Genomic DNA, 19,828 nt, shown 5'->3' on the forward strand with positions numbered 1-19,828 from the left:
TGAACAAGAGGGAAAGCCACTGGATTTTGAAAAAAGGGTGATATGATTAAACTATGTTTTAATTGCTTTACTCTATATATTACAGTGAGAATTCTCTGGAAAAAGACACAATTAAAAGCAGGGTAAATATTTAGAAAACTAAAGTATTTTAAGGAAGATCGTATGGTGTTTTTTTCCAGAGTAGTAGCAATGACTGTTGTGGAATAGAATTAATTGAAAGAAATGTGGTTGTAGTTAGAAGAGAAGAGTGGATAAGTAATTTTATTAAATGTGTTTGTAGGAGGATGTGAAAGATCCAGTCAAGAGAAAAACACTGGCTAATTCAGAGTAAGGCAAGATAATTTTTATACAGTTTTCTATGATTAGATGGTGAGGTGGAAGTGGAGTGAGGAGGTGATTGGAGCTAGTGTAGTACTGGGGAAGTTGGCTTCTGTTGCAAAAAAGTATTACCCATCTATAGTAACAAGAGTACCTACAAAGAATATGAGCATAGATGCAAGTGGTTAGGTAAACAATGCTGTAGGAGCATATTAAAGTTCTCTTTGGAGAGTTTCAATTTTCTCACTGAAATAAAAATCATGGCCAGGAGGAAGGGCCCAATGCAGTGGCTCATGCCTGTAATTCCAACCCTTTGAGAGGCATAGGCAGGTGGATCACTTGAGCCCAAAAGTTCGAGACCAGCCTGGGCAAAATGATGAGACCTGGTCTTTACAGAAAATACAAAATTAGCCAGATGTGGTTGTGTGTGCCTGTAGCCCCAGCCACTCAAGGGGCTGAGGTGGGAGGATCGATTGAGTCCAGGATGTCGAGGCCACAGCGAGCCCAGATCATGCCACTACACTCCAGCCTGGGTGACAGAGGGAGATCCTGTCTCAAAAAGAGAGAGAGAGAGAAAGAGAGAGAGAAAGAGGTGTTGGGAATTTGAGGAGATAAAAGACTATGAAAATATTGTCTAAGAAATGACAGAATGAATGGCCTAGGACAATATAGTAAGATCGACAGGTATCATTTGGAGTGCATTCTCAGTTAGTGATAATGACTTCGAAGTGAAGCAGTCAGTGTTAGTATGTTGTTTTATTCCCCAGATAACTGAAGTCGAAAGATTGTTGACATGATGAAGATAGAAAGTTGAATTTAACAAACCAATAAATGATTTAGTCTCATCTCATCTCATCTCACGTAATCTCTTGCAACTTCCTTGATATCTCGCTGTTCTTCAAATACTATTATGACCTTAGGCTTTAGCATTTGCTAATTTCTTTTTTTATTTTTTGTATCACTTGCCTATTTGGTCAATCATCAAGTCTTTAGCAACCACTTCTTAGTACACTGAAAAAAATAACTGTTTATCTCAACACATAGGGCCTATTTTCTTGTATTCTTGATATGGTTTGACTGCGTCCCAACCCAAATCTCATCTTTAATTGTAACTCCCATAATTCCCATGAGTCATGGGAGGAACCATGTGGGAGGTGACTGAATTATGGGAGCAGGTCTTTCCTGTGCTGTTTTTGTGATAGTGAGTGAGTCTCACAAAACCTGATGTTTTTAAAAATGGGAGTTTCAGTGCATATTCTCTCCTTTTGCCTGCTGCCATCCATGTAGCACGTGATTTCCTACTTTTTGCCTTCTGCCATGATTGTGAGGCCTCCTCAGCTATGTATTATTGTAAGTTTGTTAAACATGTTTTTCTTCCCAGTCTTTGGTGTGTCTTTATCAGCAGCATGAAAACAGACTAATACAGTAAACAGGTAGCAGTAGAGTGGGATGCTGCTGAAAAGATACCTGAAAATGTGGAAGTGACTCTGGAACTGGGTAACAGGCAGAGGTTGGAACAGTTCGGATGACTCAGAAGAAGAAAGAAAAATGTGGGAAAGTGTGGAACTTCCTACAGACTTGTTGAATGGGCTTGCCCAAATTGCTGATAGTGATATGGACAATAAAGTCCATGCTGAGGTGGTCTCAGATGGAAATGAGGAACTCATTGGGAACTAGAACAAAGGTGAGTCTTGTTATATTTGAGCAAAGAGTCTGGTGGCATTTTGCCCCTGCCCTAGAGATTTGTTTAAACTTGACAGAGATAATTTAGGGTATCAGGCAGAAGAAATTTCTAAGTGACAAAGTGTTCAAGGAGTGACTTAGGTGCTGTTAAAGGCATTCAGTTTTAAAAGGGAAGCAGAGCATAAAAGTTTGGAAAATCTGTAGCCTGACAATGTGATAGAAAAGAAAATCCCATTTTCTGAGGAGAAATTTAAGCCAGCTGCAGAAATTTGCATAAGCAATGAAGAGCTGAATGTTAACCATCAGGACAATGGGAAAAATGTCCAGGGCATCTCAGAGATCTTTGTGGCAGCTCTCTTATCATTCCATCACAGGTCAGGAGACCTAGAAAAAAATGGTTTCACGGTCCAGGGCCAGAGTCCCTGTGCTATGTGCAGCCTATGAATTTGGTGCCATGAGTCCCAGCAACTCCAGCTGTGACTGAAAGGGGGCAATGTAGAGTTTGGGCCGTGGCTTCATAAGGTGCAAGCCCCAAGCCTTGGCAGCTTTCACGTGGTGTTGAGCCTGCGAGTGCACAGAAGTCAAGAACTGGGGTTAGCAAATCTCTGCCTAGATTTCAGAGAATTTATGGAAACCCCTAGATGCCAAGGCAGAAGTTTGCTGAAGGGGCAGGGCCCTCATGGCAAGCCTCTCCTAGGGCAGTGCAGAAGGGAAAGGCGGGGTCAAAGTACCCACAAAGAGTCCTTACTGTAGCACCACCTAGTAAAGCTGTGAGAAGAGGGTCACCAACCTGAAGACCCCGGAATGGTAGATTCATTGACAGCTTTCACCGTATGCCTGGAAAACCTGCAGACACTCAACACCAGCCTGGGAAAGCAGCCAGGAGGAGGGCTATGTCCCACCAAGCCACAGGGGCAGAGTTGTTCAAGGCCATGGGAGCACATCTTTTGCATCAGCATTACCTGGATATGAGAAATGCAGTCAAAAGAGATTATTTTGGAGCTTTAAGATTTGAGTGCCCCGCTGGATTTTGGATTTGCATGGGGCCTTTAGCCCCTTTGTTTCAGCCAATTTCTCCCATTAGGAACAATGGTATTTCCCCAATGCCTGTGCCCCCCATTGTGTGTAGGAAGTAACTAACTTGCTTTTGATTTTACAGGCTCATAAGTGGAAGGGAATTGCCTTGTCTCAGATGAGACTTTGGACTATGGACTATTGAGTTAATGCTGAAATGCATTAAGACTTTAGGAGAATGTTGGGAAGACATCACTGATTTTGAAATGTGAGGACATAAGATTTGGGAGAGGCCAGGAGCAGAACGATATTATTTGGCTGTGTCCCCACCCAAATCTCATCTTAAATTATAATCCCACAATTTCTACATGTCGTGGGAGGGACCTGCTAGGAGGTGATTTTATTACGGGGGTGTGTCTTTTCTGTGCTGCTCCCATGATAGTGAATGACTCTTATGAGATCTGGTGGTTTTAAAAATGGGAATTTCCCTTCACAAGCTCTCTTTTTGCCTGCTGCCATCCATGTAAGGTGTGACTTGCTCCTCCTTGCTTTCTGCCATGATTGTGAGGCCTCCACAGCCATGTAGAACTGTAAGTCTATTAAACATCTGTTTTCCCTAGTCTCTGGTATGTTTTTATCTGCAACATAAAAAAAGAGTAATACAATTCTATATGTATATGACATTTCCCACTACCTGTCATTATTTTATAATATCATTTATTTATATTTTATATCTGCCTAACGTCTTTCCTTTTAGAATAGATGTAAATGAAATCCATATTACACAGAGTTTATAATTATTTCTAAGACCTTTGTCTTTTATTGTGAATGTTAAAGAGACCCATTAGATGATTTTATACATAGGTGTGATGTTTTCTGACTGATATGTTTCCAGACTGATATGTTTCCAGGTGATACTGAATACTGAGTGGAGGCACTCCTCCATGGGAGAGAAATCATGGAGGGTGGTTTGGAAGCTATTGAAATATTTCTGATAATAGATAAAGTTGTCTTGGATTAAATATATATTAGCATTGATGGTAAGACTTGGAAGTATAGCAACTAAACATAATAATGAGATATATGAAGAAAATGCGATGCAGGAAGAGTCACAGGATTGCATGCTGCTGAGAAATAGAGAAAAATGAGAAATAATTGATCAGTTTATTTAAGAAGAAGTCAGTCATTAGAAACTTAAACAGGACATCATTATGAGTCTTGTTTGAAGAGATTAAAAGAGAACTGGGTATTAAGAAATGCAGTAGTATTGACAATAATTTCTTATAAGTTGGTTATAAAAGAAAGAGGAATAGAATGGTATCTGAAATGGGTGATATTTTTAAAGGTTTCATTTTATTTCCTGATGTAACAGCAACATATTAGAAAATGTTTCTATGCTGATATCAAAAAGCAGCAGAGAAGTAAAATTGCATAATATATGAGATGTGATAGCTTCTAGAACAAAGCCTGTGATAGGAGATATTGACGTTAAGTAAACAAATGCAAAATTTGACCTTAAAAAGGAGACAAGACAGTTTATATATTTAATAGGACCAAAGGGATTATTACATATAAATAATTATACTAATAGATTTGTACTTCAAAGATTGTAAGATTAGGTAGTTATTTTACAACTGTTTTTATCGTTGTCAATAAATAATTCAGTGATGATATTATGAAACTGTTTATGTAGGAAGGGCAAATGGAGATTTGAGTGTAGTGAACAATCTGTAAAATAATCATGTCAGAGGTTGAAAGATTAAGTTTATTAAGAAAACAGAAGAGAGATTTCAGCTTTAGGGCTTCTTGAGTTTTGTTGTCATAAATGAAAATAAAACCGATTACTATGGTTTGCTTTCATTTCAAAAGAATTTATTCGAGAGAGTTTCATTTTTTTTTAAGTAAGTTTAGCTAGATTTGGAGGTTGTTTCCTAAGTAAATAAAGTAAATACACAGGAAATTGAGGATAAAGATAAGGAGGTGAAGATAACAATGAACATCTGAGAATAAAGTAGGTAGTGAGGTCATAGTAAGGGTGTTAAACAGTCAAAAAACGGTGAGATACATTTATTAGAGGATTCTATTAAGGTAAAAAAAATCTTGAGAAAGCAGTCAGGTATACCTTTTGGAAAAAATAAAGTTGGGAGAGGGTAATCATTAAGAGTTGATGTTTAAAATTGAATTCAAAGTTGTAGATGTACTACAGTTATTTTTAATTAGAAACTACAGGATCAAATCATGTGAGTGAATTGTTGAGGAGCTGTGAGTAAATTGATGAACATGAACAGTTTGAGGAATGAAAAGCTCAGAATTGTATAGTCTATGTGAAGCTGAAACTGCCAATATGGTAAATAATCCCAGAATCTGTGCATTTATCATGAATACCTGGAAAATCACCTATTAAATATTTTCTAGACTAAATCACTCTTCTGTGTTTTATAATAACCAGTGTTTCTCATTAAAATCTTCTCTATTCTTTATCAGAGTCCATATCTGAGCTTAAGCAGGAAGAATGACAGTGTCCCTGATGTTTCAGACATGTTCCTGATTTTTCTGAGCCACTTGATTGACTATATACTTGAAATAATTCATAAAGCTTGATTCTGGTTAAGATCTCAGATTCATGTGCGTCTAATTTCACCATCTGATTCATTACCTAAGCTCATAGAGAAATAATTATATTCACATTCTCAGGATTATTTTGGTTTAAAGTTTTAATGAATTTCATAGTGAATGTAAAAATTACCAATATATGAATATCAATAATTATGAGAGAATATCTTGATAGTCTGAAAGAAATATTTATATAGATACATATGATTTCTACAGTATTTTTTAGACCTGTAGAAAACAAACAGTAACAGAACACTTAAATTGTAACTTATTTTACAATCAGTTTTATTTTATAATTAATTTTTAAATTCTCTCACAACTATTCTCATTGGTATATTTTAAGTCTTATTTTTATAAAACTAATAGAATTGCAAAAATTTTGCCATAAAACTTAGATAATTTTAATTATAATGCAAAAAACATCTTCATTGAGTAAATCATGCTGTGTATACTTACGAAGTCTCTTTTTATGATAACTATGTAATCAAAAGATCATTAAAATAAGTTATCTTCAATAAATTAGAGTTACCAGTCACAAGAAACTCTTCAATTTACTAATAAGAGGTGTTCACTTTTTACTTAGTAATCACAAGTCACAAAATTCTCAAACCATGGAATATTACATTTTTTACTGTTAATATAGAAAATAATATATTTGCACAAATCCTAAAGTATTGGTCATGAATTATTTTCAAAATGTAATAAAATACAGCAATAATAACTGATGTAATGATCTACATATGAAGTAAACATTTGTTTTTACCTCATAACAAGTCTCCTTGTTTTATTCATTATTTCTAGTCTAGTCAGTGAGAATGTGAGCAATTGTATCCACAAATATATTCCTTATTTTTTCCATGCATTTTGTGCAATTTGAATGCTTTATTATATGGTTGGCTGCATCGCCACCCAAATCTCATCTTGAATTGTGACTCCCACAATTCCCACATGTTATGGGAGGAAACTAGTAGAATGTAATGAATCATGGGGGCAGGTCTTTCCCATGCTGTTCTTATGACAGTGAATAAGTCTCATGAGATCTGATGGTTTTAAAAATAGGAGTTTATCTGCACAAGCTCTCTCTCTGCCCACTGCCATCCATGTAAGACGTGACTTGCTCCTCCTTGCTTTCCACAGTGATTGTGAGACCTCCCCAGCCATGTGGGATTGTAAGTGATTAAACTTCTTTCTTTTGTAAATTGCCCAGTCTCAAGTAAGTCTTTATCAGCTGCATGAAGACAGACTAACACAGTAAATTGATACCAGTAGAGTGGGGTGTTGCTGAAAAAATACCCAAAAATGTAGAAGTGACATTGGAATTGGGTAATAGGCAGAGGTTGGAAGAGTTTGGAGGGCTTAGAAGAAGACAGAAAAATTTGGGAAAGTTTGGAACTTTCTAGAGATTGTTGAATGGCTTTGACCAAAATGTTGATAATGATATGGACAACGAAATCTAGGCAGGTGGTCTCTGATGGAGATTAGGAACTTGGGAACTGGAACAAAAGTGACTCTTCCTATGTTTTAGCAAGGAGACTGAACAGCATTTTTCCTCTGCCCTAGAGATTTGTGGAACTTTGTAATTGAGAGAGATGATTTAGGGTATCTGGCAGAAAAAAAAAATTACTAAGTAGCAAAATATTCAAAAGGTGACCTGAATGTGGTTAAAGACATTCAGTTTTAAAAGAGAAACAGAGCATAAAAGTTTTGAAAATTTGCAGCCTGACAACGTGATAGTAAAGAAAATCAATCCCATTTTCTGAGGGGAAATTCAAGCTGACTGTAGAAATTTGCATAAGTAAGGAGGACCTGAAAGTGCATCACCAAGACAATGGGGAAATTTCTCCAGAGCATGTCAGAGACCTTTGTGGCAGCCACTCCCATCACAGGCCCAGAGGTTTAGAAAGAAAAATGGTTTTATCGACAAAGACTAGGGCTGCCCTGCTCTGTGTAGCCTAGGAACTTGGTGCCCTGCATGCCAGCCACTCCTGCCGTGACTAAATGGGGCCAAGGTACAGCTCAGTCTGTTGCTTCAGAGGGTAAAAGCCCCAAGCCTTGGCAGCTTCCACATGGTGTTGAGCCTGCAGGTGCACAGAAGTCAAGAATTGACGTTTGGGAACCTCTGCCTAGATTTCAGAAGATGTATGGAAACACCTGGATACCTAGGCAGAAGTTTGCTGTAGGGGTGGGGCCCTCATGGAGAACTTCTGCTAGGGCAGTGAAGAAGAGAAATGTGGGGTCAGAGCCCCCACATAGAGTCCCTACTGGGACACCACTTAGTGAAGCTGTGAGAAGAGGGCTACCATCCTCCAGACCCCAGAATGGTAGATTAACTGACGACTTGCATCATGTGCCTGGAAAAGCCACAGACACTCAACACTAGCACATGAGAGCAGCCAAGAGGAGGGCTATACCCTGCAAAGCCACAGGGGTGGAGCTGCTCAAGGCCATGGGAGCCCACCTCTTGTATCAGTGGGACCTGGATGTGAGAAATGGAGTCAAAGGAGATAATTTTGGAGCTTTAAGATTTGACTGCTCTTCTGGATTTGGACTTGCATGGGGCCTACAGCCCCTTTGTTTTGGCCAATTTCTCACATTTGGAATGGCTGTATTAAACCAATGCCTGTACCTCCATTGTATCTAGGATGTAACTACCTTGCTTTTGATTTTACAGGCTCATAAGTGAAAGGCACTTGCCTTGTATTAGATGAGGCTTTGAACAGTGGACTTTTGAGTTAATGATGACATGAGTTAATTTGTTACGGAACTGTTAGAAAGGCAAGATTGATTTTGAAATGTTAGTACATGAGATTTGGGAGGGGTGGGGGAAGCGCAAAATGGTATTATTTGGCTATGTCCCCACCCAAGTCTCATCTTGAATTGTAACTCCCACAATTCCCAAGTGTTGTGGGAGGAACCTAGTGGGAGGTAATTGAATCATGGGGGCAGGTTATTTTCCTGGTCTTTTCATGTAAGAAGTGACTTGGTTCTCCTTGTCTTCCACCATGATTGTGAAGCCTCACCAGCTATGTGGAACTGTAAGTCCACAAGAAATGCTCTAAATCTTTCTTTTGTAAATTGCCCAGTCTTGGGTATGTCTTTATCAGCAGAGTGAAAGCAGACTAATACAATTCAACTCTTTGTTTTTATGGCAATATGTTGAGGGCTTTTAGATTATTAATTATATAGGTGATATGTCTTGTTACAAACCTAAGGTTGGTTTATTTATTGTTCTGTTATTGTCATTATTGCCGTTGTTTATGGTGGAAGGCATATCTTCATTTCACTGTCCCCCAACACCTTTTATCATTCTCCCATTTACATGTAGACAGTTTTTCATTACCCAGGACTTATAGCTTACTCTTTAAGAATGTTATGAAGAAGTCAATTTATTTTCTCATTGTATAACTTAATATTCCACGTAACTTAATATTCCACCATACCATGTTTGTAAGTGCGCAGAAATATCCTCCAGGGTTGACTGTGTCAAATTGTTCAATGATATGAACAACCTCCAAGCAGCTTGATTCTTATTGGCTATCTCAGACCATGCTAGTAATCCAGTGTCTTTTACCCTTTCTCTCTCTCTCTTTTTTTTTTTTTTTTTTTTTGCCACCTCTACATTCAAAGTGATAACTTCATTCCCAAACTATATTCTCTGAACTGTTTGTCAAATTTCTTGTGTCTCCCTATAACAATTAGGTCACATGTTTATACCAATAGCTGACTTTTAAGCAATACACATTTCAGATAATTCCTACCATTTAAGAAATGGTATAGGTAGCAAATTTCTCTCAATTGTTCTGGAATAATCCCTTGTAAATGTACATTATACAAGATGGATCTCTCTGACATATAGAAGCAATCATGACTTCAGGTGATTCCCTGTTTTAGTTAATGATTTTCATGTTACTTATAAGTACTTTTATTTAGTGTTCTAGGTCATTTCCATTAAAATAAGGCTCTTTTTTTATAAGTCCTTGCTATACAGATTTTTTACCTTTAAGTGGTGTTTATTTTCCCAAATTTTGTTTGAGGGTGATTAAAATATTTTTTCTTATGTATGTAAATTATATTCAAAGCACTTAGGACAATATCTAAAACATACTAAGAAATCAATATGATAGTCATAATGACTGTTACTTTTCTTTCTGTACATTGAGTAAGAATCAAGAATTAAAGTCAGTTTTGTAGAGAAGACATCAACAAGGTAGAAGAATAGGAGGTTTTTGCTTTTTTCTCCTCCCACTGATGCACCAAATAAACATCAACATAGGGATCAATTCCCTCTGGGAGAAATCCAGCTATGAATTGAGAGACTCTTACTCGCTAAACCACTGAGAATATAGCTGAGACAGAACAGACCACAATAACCCCAACATGGGGCAAAGTGCCTTGCAATCAGGAGAGAATCCAAAACTTCCAAGTTCTCCCTGAGATGTGAAAAATTTGACTTTTAAATCACCTATTTCTGGGAGCAGATTGAGTTCAGCATTCACGAGTCCCCTCAGACAACAGAGAACAAAAAAAATGGTTTTAAATGGGGATAAGAGTAGCTCCAACAGCTGCTTCCCCCAGTTTGGCACAGAACAAACAGACTACTCTTTCAGAGAGAAACTGAAAGCTGAGTGTTTTTGTCTAATGTTCTAATTTTCCCAGATGCTGCTTATGGTTTAGGCCATGAATTGGCCCACTTATAGGAGCTGACAGAGGAGGCAATTGGTAGTTGGCAAGGATGCTGAACAGGTTTGTGTGTATTTCCTATCACTCTTCCCTCAGGTTTACACCAGAGATAGACCTTATCCTACAGCTAACCTGCCTGTCTCTAATAAAAGCAGTTAGGAGCTAGCATTTACTATGCCCTTGGGGGTGACAAAGAACAAAGTAATGAGTTGAGTCTGCAGTCTGAATTGGAATGAAGACATTTTTCACAGATCCTCTCCCTGATTTAGAGCAAGTGGGAGGTAAACTCCAGATTCCACCTTTTCCCTGAGGATAGAAGTAATTGGAACACACATCTAACACCCAGCTTTTCCATCTACAACTTGAGGGAATGACTTCTATTTCTCCTGTCTCAGGCACAGATGGGTCTGAGCACAGCCTAGTTTCCTGGAGGCCACTAAGAACAAAGATAGTACATTTGGTAAGCACAAGTAATTAAAAGGCACCTAGAATTTCTGGCAAGGTTTATTTTGTTTATTTATTTATTTTTGAAATGGACTCTTGCTCTGCCACCCAGGCTGCAGTGCAGTGGCACAATCTCAGGTCACTGCAACCTTCGCCTCCCAGGTTCAAGCAATTCTCCTGCCTCAGCCTCCCAGGTAGCTGGGATTACAGGCATGCACCACCACGCCTGGCTAATTTTTGCATTTCTAGAATAGACAGGGTTTCATTATATTGGCCAGGCTGGTCTCAAACTCCTGACCTCAGGTGATCCGCCAGCTTCGGCCTCCCCAAGTGCTAGGATTACAGGTGTGAGCCACCGTGCCTGGCCGGTTTATTTTTTACATAAGGCCAGTCTGTTAACACTCGGAGAGAAGAGGAAACTATCTTACCTAAGGTATGGAAATCAACACAGGGAGTCCAGAAAAGTTAAGAAACAAAGGAACACATTCCAAATGAAATAACGAGATTAATCTCCAGAAATCAATTTTAATGAAATGGAGACAAATATTTACCTGAGAGAGACTATAAAATAACAATCATGAAGATATTGATGAGAGTACAGCAAAGTGTGAACAAAGGATTTTAACTATGAGATAGAAAATATTTTTAAAGTGAAAACTGAAAATTATAAAGCTGAAGAACACAATAACTGAATTGAAAAATTCAATAGAGTGGTTCGATAAGAGACTAGATCAAGGAAAAGAAAGGATTAGTAAACTTGAAGACATTATTGAAATTCATCTAGTCAGAGGAACAAACAAACAAACAAACAAGGAAAAGCAGTGAGGATAGCTTAAGGGACATATGGGATGCCATCAAGCTGTCTAATTTATGCATTTTATGGGAGTTCAAGAAAAGAAAGAGAAAGAGAAAGGGACAGAAAGTGTATTAAAAGAAATAATGGCTGGAAAATTTTCAAACACGGGGAAGTACATAGAAATACCTATACAGTAAGCCTAAAGGATACCACATATTTGGTGTTCTTTAATTTCTCATATTAGAAATCCAAAAAGATCCACACCAAGGCACATTATTATAATAGTGTTAACATGTCCATACTACCCAATGTGATATACTGATTTAATACAATTTCTATCAAAATCCCAATGGTATTTTTCACAGAAATAGAAAAAACCTAAAATGTATATGTAACAACAAAATGTCTTTAATTGCCAATAAATCATAAGAAAGAAAGACAAAGTTGGAGACATCACACTTCCTGAGTTTAATCTATATTACAATGCTCTCACAATCACAAAAGTGTAGTACAGGCACAAAACCAGACACAAAGACCAATGGAACACAACAGAGATATCAGAGAAAATAAACCCAAGCATACGAAGTCAATTAAGTTTTAACAGGGGAACCAAGAATACATAATTGGGAAAAAATGTTTTTTTTCCAATAAAGGGAATTGATAAAATGAATATCTATATGCAAAAGAATGAAATTGGGCCCTTATCTTACAGTATTGTAAAACAACCAAATAGATTAAAGATCTAAACACAAGATGCAAAATTATAAATCTCTTAGAAGGAAAACTTTTTGGAATTGACCTCGACAATGATTTTTATATATATATATATATATATCTCACACTAAAGCCTCAAGCAACAACAACAACAAATAAGCAATTGGGACTGTATCATACTGAATTGCTTCTGTACAGCAAAAGCAACAATCAACAAAACATAAAGGCAAGCTACATGTTAAGAAAAAATATTTGCAAAGCATATATCTGATAAGGGATTAATATTCAAAATATGTAAGGAAGTCACAAATCTCAATACTAAGCAAATAAATAAATAGACAACCCAATTAAAAATGAGGAAAGGTTCTAAACAGACCTTATTTCAAAGAAGATGTAAAACTGGCCAACAAGTAAGTGAAAAGGTGCTCAACATCACTAATCATCACAGGAATGTAAATCAAAATCACAATGAAATATTATCTCACACTGCTATAAGGGCCACTATCAAAAAGATGAAAGGTAATAAGTGTTGGTGAGAGTGTGAAGAAAATGGAACCCTTCTATGATGTTGATGGGAATGTAAAATGTTAGAATCATTAGGGAAAATAGTATTGTTTCCTCAAAAATTAAAAATAGAACTACTGTATGATCCAACCATCCATCCTCTGGGTAAGTACCTAAAGGAAATGAAATCACCACTGGTAAAGATACTGCATTCTCATATTCATTGCAGCATTATTCACAACAGCCAAGAAATAAAAACAACCTAAGTATCTATAGATGAATGACTGGAATAAGAAATTGTGTTGAAATATATATATATATATATATATATATATATATATAATAAATATACAAAATATATGTATATATAATATATAAAAAAATATGTGTATATATGTTACATGCAATGGAATATTTTTCAGCCTTCAAATAAAAGGAACTCCTGCCACGTGTGACAAGCTGAATAAACCTAGAAGACATTATACTAAGTGAAATAAGCCAGACACAGAAAATAGAATAGCTGTGATTTCACTTATAACATGCAATCTAAAAAAGCTGGAAACATAGAAACTGAGATTAGAATGGTGTTTACCAGGGGCAGGGGGTGAGGACACTGAGGGTGGAGGTGAAAATGAGGAAATGTAGGTAATAGTTTACAAAGTTGCAATTATGTAGAATAAATAAATGTAGAGGTGGAAAGCACTGCATGATGATTTTCGTTAATAATATTATATGTTTTATTGGAAATCTACTGAGAATAGGTTTCAAGTGCTCCCATCACACAGACAAAAAAGGCAATTAATTATGTGAGGAGATGGATGGGATTATTTATTTGACTCTAGCAGTCATTTCACTATATACATGCATATTAAAACATCATGTTATACATCTTTTATATATAATTTTTAAAAAGTCAATTTTGCCTGTGTCTAAAAGCAGAGTTTTATCTTTCACATTTTATTGACACCAAGTTATAAAATAGTGATAGTAAAAATTTTTGCCATTTTCATTGCTTTCTAAGTATTTAATGTATAGGCTAAATGATGTGAATAATTTGACATTACACTGTGATGAATCCTCTTAAGGTATGTTCCATTTTTTAATTAGTAGCATACTTTAGAGGTGATTACTTTATCTTGAGTAACTGTAGCAAACACTTCAATCTCATTAAACATTGCTATGCTTTAGCACAGTTTAATTTTCAGTTATACCAATGCACAAATTTAAATGAGCACAAATAATTTTAATGAAACTAGTTCCAGCTAGATTCTTAAAGATAAAAGAATTTGGCAATTAATTATGGCTAAAAAATTTTTCCTTAGATCACCCAGCTTTTGTGTATCTGATTCTCCAAAATCTATAACTGTTATAACTAAATGAGAATCCACACTAGTTAGTGACTATTTGGGATAATTTACATTCATTTTAATATATTAAGACTTCAAAACTAACATCTAATTTTCAGAAAGAAGCCTTATAATGTGAATGTAACATTATTGCAGCAGGCTGAATTAATTAGCTCCTGCTATATTTACCTAGAGCTTTTTCTTTTACACCTTTCTGAAGAAAGTTATGCTTTTTTGATTTTCAGTTCCATAGGGATCAGAATAATTCCCAAACACTTTCTTCTCTTTTTTACAATGAACAAATTATCAATAGGTGTTGAATTGTGAGTTGAATAAATTATAAAAAATGATATGCACACAGAGACTATTTAAAGACTTTTTAGATTTTGCTTTTTTATTTTTTAAAAAGAAGGCCATAGACAGTTTTCTTAATATTAAAAAATTAAAAAATACTGAAAACTTTGTTATTCAATTTTTAAATCTTAATTTTTTCATTAAGTTATTTGTGATCTAAAGTATCTTCTTGATAAAAAGAGAAAGCACTCTTTGTTGTCTTTTAGGATAGGTTATTAAGTAAAATCATATATGTCAAACAGTTGGCTTTATTAAATCAAGCCTTCAATGCCTTTTAACCCAAAACATTCAGTCCGCAAATGTAATACATTTTTTGTCTTTTGCAGCAGAATTGAACAATTGTGCACATATAATCTTGACCAGAACTGGTGAAAGGGGTCACTACCGCCACTAGCTTCCTTATTTGAAAGATGACATCTGACATCTCTGGGCCTCAATGTCCTTCCTTGCAAAATAGGCATAACAGTAGCACTTGTCTTATTAGAATATTGTAAGCAATAAATGTTTAAAATGTGTAAGTCTTTTGTAAAAGTGTATCAAGTGTAAATGCTTGAAAAATACTAGCTATTATTATTTGGGGGAGGAGTACACTTGTATAATGGCTGACATTCAGACATTAAGTAATGTGATATCTGTAGAATGTAGACTGTATTTTGATTAGTTTGTGCTCAAATCAAATGTAATTTTTAAATTGTTTTAAAATTATACTTTTTAAGTTCTGAGATACATGTGCAGAACATGCAGGTCTGTTACAGAGGATTTTACTCTAATATTTACATCTTAAATAGCTTTAACTATACTGAAATAGTCTCTTAATTATTCCTCTGAATGTGAACTCAAAAAAAGCAGAGATTGGATCTTTTCTATTGTTACACTCCAATGCTTACATACTATATAACATGTAACAAATATTCAATTCATATTTTATAATAAATAATTATACAAGTATATGTTTCTTAATTTTTAACCTAAAAAGATAGGGATTTATTCTGTGGTTGGTCATTAAATACAGTAAAAAAATTTAATTAAAATAATTAATTATAGAACATTTTAATATATTTTTTCATTGCACACAGATCACATAAAATGCTAAAATGAGATGTGATTCAGGAACAAATAGCTAATTAGTAAAACATTTCCATAAAAACCTGATTCTGCTTTTTTAACTATACTAATCTTGATGAGGGGAAATTTTGTTATATAGATCAAATTCATTATTGCTATTCTTCAAAAGTTATCTCTATTATCTTAAGATCATCTCAACAGAAAGGGTTGAAATTAAATAGAGACAAGCCTATAGGATAATAATTTTCAAATATGTTACAATTATTTATAGTAATCACAGTTATGCCATGAAATCAAGTAATGTTAGTATAGTAAAATTTATCTTAAACAATTATATGCTTTGCAGAGTCTAAAATATCTATCCAATTAGGGCTAACATTTGTTCTTTTGTGAATAAATATGCTGAAAATTATACTTTCAGTCAAACAAACATTGTGATGCTCTATTCCAATTAGTAGTTCAAGCTAAAGTTTAAATTAAATAATTGCATGATTTGATCAAAAGGACATTTCAAAAATTTCCCTCATTAAATATATTAATATGATAAATTTATTTGATTAGCATAGGGATGTATTTAATATTATATTTGTAAATTAAATAGAATCATAGCATGACTCATCTTTTGCGCGCTAATTGAATCTGCTAGAAACTAGCTGATAACATAGGAAAAAGCCATCTTAAAAATTTATTTATTCCTCAATGTTGTTGATAAGTCTAATACATGGCATACGTTCATTAATTCTTCATTATATTTCTATGACTATACTCATTGCTTAGTGGAAAAAAAATTCTTCAGGCAAAACATTGCCAACCAAAGAAATTAATCTTCATAAAAATAATCAACGTCATAAATTACATTTTAATTAAAAACTCAGCCATAAGCTAACACGAATATTTTATGTCATTTTAATGTAAAAAAAAAAACATAGAAAATGTTCCCAATGAGGGAACATTCATTAAAAATAAAAATAAGACAAAAACTATACACATAAAAATTAATACACTTAATAAATGTTCATACATAAGAGGCATACCTTGCTGTGACCTGCTTCTCACCTATATTGGTGTAAAATATACTTCAATAGCTATTTTTAGATCACCGTGTTCCTTTTCTAATCTATTCTCTAGAAAAACAATGGACTTGTCTTTCCAAAACAAAAATCCAAAGAATATCACTGCTTTGCTCACAGTCTCTGGATAGCTCATCATTGTCATCCTACAATTCTCTGCTCCAGAGTGGTAAGAATATCTTCATTCTCTTGATATTCTGCAGTCCTTTCATGATTGTTTTGTGTTTTGGCTACATCTCCTGTCTATTCTTGTTCTCTGATTTGGACCAAAACTTCATTGCCTTTCTCTTAACCAGAAGAGCTACATGAAAAGCCTAAGAGGCTTGTCTATCAAACTACTGTCATCTCTATGCTCAATTTGTGTCCTGCATATATTACACCATATTTTACTTGTCTGTTTATGTGTCTGTCTTAATGGATCATGAATCTCTCAAGATCAGGGCAAAACCCTTATTCATATTTAAATCGGCCAACGTTAGCACAATCCGGAACACATATAAATTATATTTTCTCCATTTTCTATTTGTACAAAATTGGGACGATTTCTAATCTTTTCTGAGGCTCTTCTTTAGGTAAAATATGAGCCTAACTTTATTTTCTTTCACAAAATGACTTGTTTTTTAAAAAATTAAACTTCATATGCAAAATAACCACTTTTCTTTCTGGAAACATGTAATAACTATTGAATAAACATTAGTTATATTATTTTACTTAACTTTCATTAAGTATTAATAATAAGAATTATACTAATGTCAGAGAATAAGGAATTATAAGAATATGATACAAATTAAAAATAAAAAAGTATAGCATATCTTTTTTTTTTTTTTTTTTTTTCAGACAGAGTCTTGCTCTGTTGCCAGGGTGGAGTGCAGTGGTGTGATCTCGGCTCACTGCAACGTCCGCCTTCTGGGTTCAAGCGATTCCACTGCCTCAGCCTCCCAAGTAGCTGGGACTACAGTCGTGCACCACCGCGCCTGGCTAATTTTTTGTATTTTAGTAGAGACGGGGTTTCACCATATTGGCCAGGCTGGTCTCGATCTCCTGACCTCGTGATCTGCGGCCATCGGACTCCCAAAGTGCTGGGATTACAGGCTTTAGCCACCGATCCTCGCCTAGCATATCTTGATCTAAGATGAAAAATACAAATCCAGACTGAGTAGATTCTGCATTAATTAAAATGGAGAACAGAGGAAACATTCTAGAAGTTTTAAGGACAGAATTTCCGTATGTAACACATGCTCCTATTCAGAGCTTTATGCTTGCTATTTCTTGTGATGGACATGTTGTCCTAAGATATCTGTGTGGCTTATTGCCTCACTTTATTCAGGTTTGGGTATACATACACACCACCACGCATAAACACATCAAAATCTAAAAGTCACAATATAAAGAATAAGAAATATTCAAACATATGATACATATCCATATGATAATATGATGACCAAGACCACTCCAAAACTGATAAAAGGTATCTTTTGTTTACAAAAAGCTCAGAAAACTAAGATAAACATTAAGAAATCTACACTAAAACAGATAGAAATTAAATTGTAAAAAATAAAATAAAAATATCTTAAAATCATACAGAAAGAAAAATTAATAATTATCTTTAAAGATTAACTATACAACAGCAGCTCTCTAAACCAAATAAATATTATCAATTTGATATTTTTCTGGCATGTTTAATGTGTTGAAATTAATAACAAAACATACCAGTGTAGAATTCTGTACCCAGTGAAAATACTCTGCAGAAATAAACATAGAAATGAATTTAGGGATATAGAAATTGAAAAAAAAAAAGTGTGTCTCGTAGAGTGACATTAAAAAATAAAAGTAAGTTTTTTAGGCTGAAAAAATATTCTAAACAAAAATATGAAGATGTATAAGGGAATAACAAGCGCTGAAAACAGTATGTGTGCATTTATAAATACATGCACACAAATTTGTGCATTTTAAAGCATATATGTAATTAAAAGCATTGCAGTAAAATATAAATGGCAGGAAAGACAGGCACAGAGTTCTTAAAATTAAAAGTCTCCAACCATCCGGTATAAATGATGCAGGACAATTGAACTACCAAATTGAGGCTTAGCCCAGAAGGGTTCTTGGCTTTACCCGGGAAAGAATTCAAGGGTGAGTCAGTGGTTTTAGAGAGCAGTCTTTTATTGGACAGTACTTCCTCTTTTGGAGCAGCCCTAACTCATAGGCAATATGCCCAAAACTGACAATGCATAGGCTCTTGCCAGTTGTATTTATACTCCCTTATACCTACTTTCAATTACATGCAAAATCAGGGCTGGGTCAGTGAAAATTGAGGGATGGGTTGTTTAGAACATTCTAAGAAAAGAGTGATAATTCATCCTGTCTGGACCAGATCGAGACCTTGTTTTGGTCAGCAGGGTTGTGACCAGAAAATGAGTCCTGTCAGTCTGCTATGTCACAAATAATACTATTTTTAATTATCCTGTTGTTAAGTGACAGATGTGCTTTTTTTCTAATCTGCCGTGTAACCATTAAAAATTGTAAAATATTTTACAACTAATATGTTAATGGAATAAAAATTAGAATACCAAATTTTTTTCTTAATTGAAAAGTAAGTAAAAATGAAGGCAGATATGTAAAAATATATTGGACAGTCATAAAATAAATATTGAAAGAATAAATACAAACACAAATATGCCAGTAACTAATTTAAATATCAATACACTGAATAATACAATTAAAAATCTAAGATTGTCAAAACTACTTTTAAAAACCCTCAAATATTTCTTATGAGACACTTTAAATATACAACACAGAAGAATTTACTCTAAAATGATTTTAAAAAACATGATTTTAAAATATTATCAAAAATTCTACCTAAGGAGTGTTTTAATATCAGACAAATTGTACTTTAAAGCAAGAAGCATTTCCAGAGGTAAATAGGAGTATTTTATAGTTAAAAGTGGGTCAATTTGATATGTAGATATTACAATCCTAATTGTACCTAGCATGGCTTCAAAATATATAAACAAAAATTAACATCACAAAGAGAAGAAATATAAAAAGTTACTATCATTTTGGGGGTTTTAATAAAAGATTTTAATATAAAAGGTACAGGAAAAATGTCTACTGAGATTGATAACATGGACAACAAAGTTAATAAACATAATCTAATTGGCATAAACAGTACATTGCACCAAACGATGAAAACTTACATGTTAAAGTGTAATGTAAGTACGGAAATGTGT

This window comes from Homo sapiens, chromosome 1, assembly GCF_000001405.40.
Source record: "Homo sapiens chromosome 1, GRCh38.p14 Primary Assembly".
In the NCBI taxonomy this organism is placed as follows: domain Eukaryota; kingdom Metazoa; phylum Chordata; class Mammalia; order Primates; family Hominidae; genus Homo; species Homo sapiens.